The sequence below is a fragment of the Homo sapiens genome, chromosome 7, assembly GCF_000001405.40.
Source record: "Homo sapiens chromosome 7, GRCh38.p14 Primary Assembly".
NCBI lineage: Eukaryota > Metazoa > Chordata > Mammalia > Primates > Hominidae > Homo > Homo sapiens.
Window position 1 is genome coordinate 30,187,530 of NC_000007.14, and position 998 is coordinate 30,188,527.

Sequence of the window (998 nt, forward strand, 5' to 3'; positions counted from 1 at the left end):
CAATTCTTGACTTTTGTGTACCTGCAGGCCCAACACTACATGTAAGCTGCCAAAGCTTGAAGCTTGCAACCTCTGAAGCAGCAGCCTGAGCTGTGCCTTGGCCCCTTTTAGCCACGGCTGGGATGCAGGGTCCCAAGTCCCAAGACTGCACAAAGCCCCAAGGCCCTGGGCCCTGCCCATGAAACCATTTTTTCTTCCTAAGATTCCAGGCCTCTAATGGGAGGGGCTGTCTTGAAGGTCTCTGACATGCCCTGGAGATATTTTCCCCCATTGTCTTGGTGATTAACATTTGGCTCCTTGTTACTTATGCAAATTTCTGCAGCTGGCTTGAATATATCCCCAGAAAATGGGTTTTTCTTTTCTATTGCATTGTCAGGCTGCAAATTTTCCAAACTTTTATGCTTTGTCACCTCTTGAACACTTTGCTGCTCAGAAATTTCTTCTACCAGATACCCTAAATCATCTCTTTCAAGTTCAAATTTCCATAGATCTCTAGGGCAGGGGCAAAATGCTGCCAGTCTCTTTGCTAAAGCATAGCAAGAATCACCTTTGCTCCAGTTACCAAGAAATTCCTCATCTCCATCTCAGACCACCTCAGCCTGGACTTCATTGTCCATATCACTATCAGCATTTTGGTCAAAGTCACTCAACAAGTCTCCAGGGAGTTCCAAACTTTCCTACATCTTCCTGTCTTCTGAGCCCTCCAAACTGTTCCAACCTCTGCCTGTTACCCAGTTTCAAAGTCACTTCCACATTTATGGGTATCTTTACAGCAGCACCCCACTACTACCAGTAGCAAGTTACTTTATTAGTCCTTTCTCATGCTGCCAATAAAGACATACCAGAGACTGGGTAATTTATAAAGGGAAGAGGTTTCATTGACTCACAGTTCAGCATGGCTGGAGAAGCCTCAGGAAACTTACAATCATGACAGAAGGGGAAGCAAACACATCCTTCTTCACATGGTGGCAGGAAGGAGAAGTGCAGAGCAAAGCAGG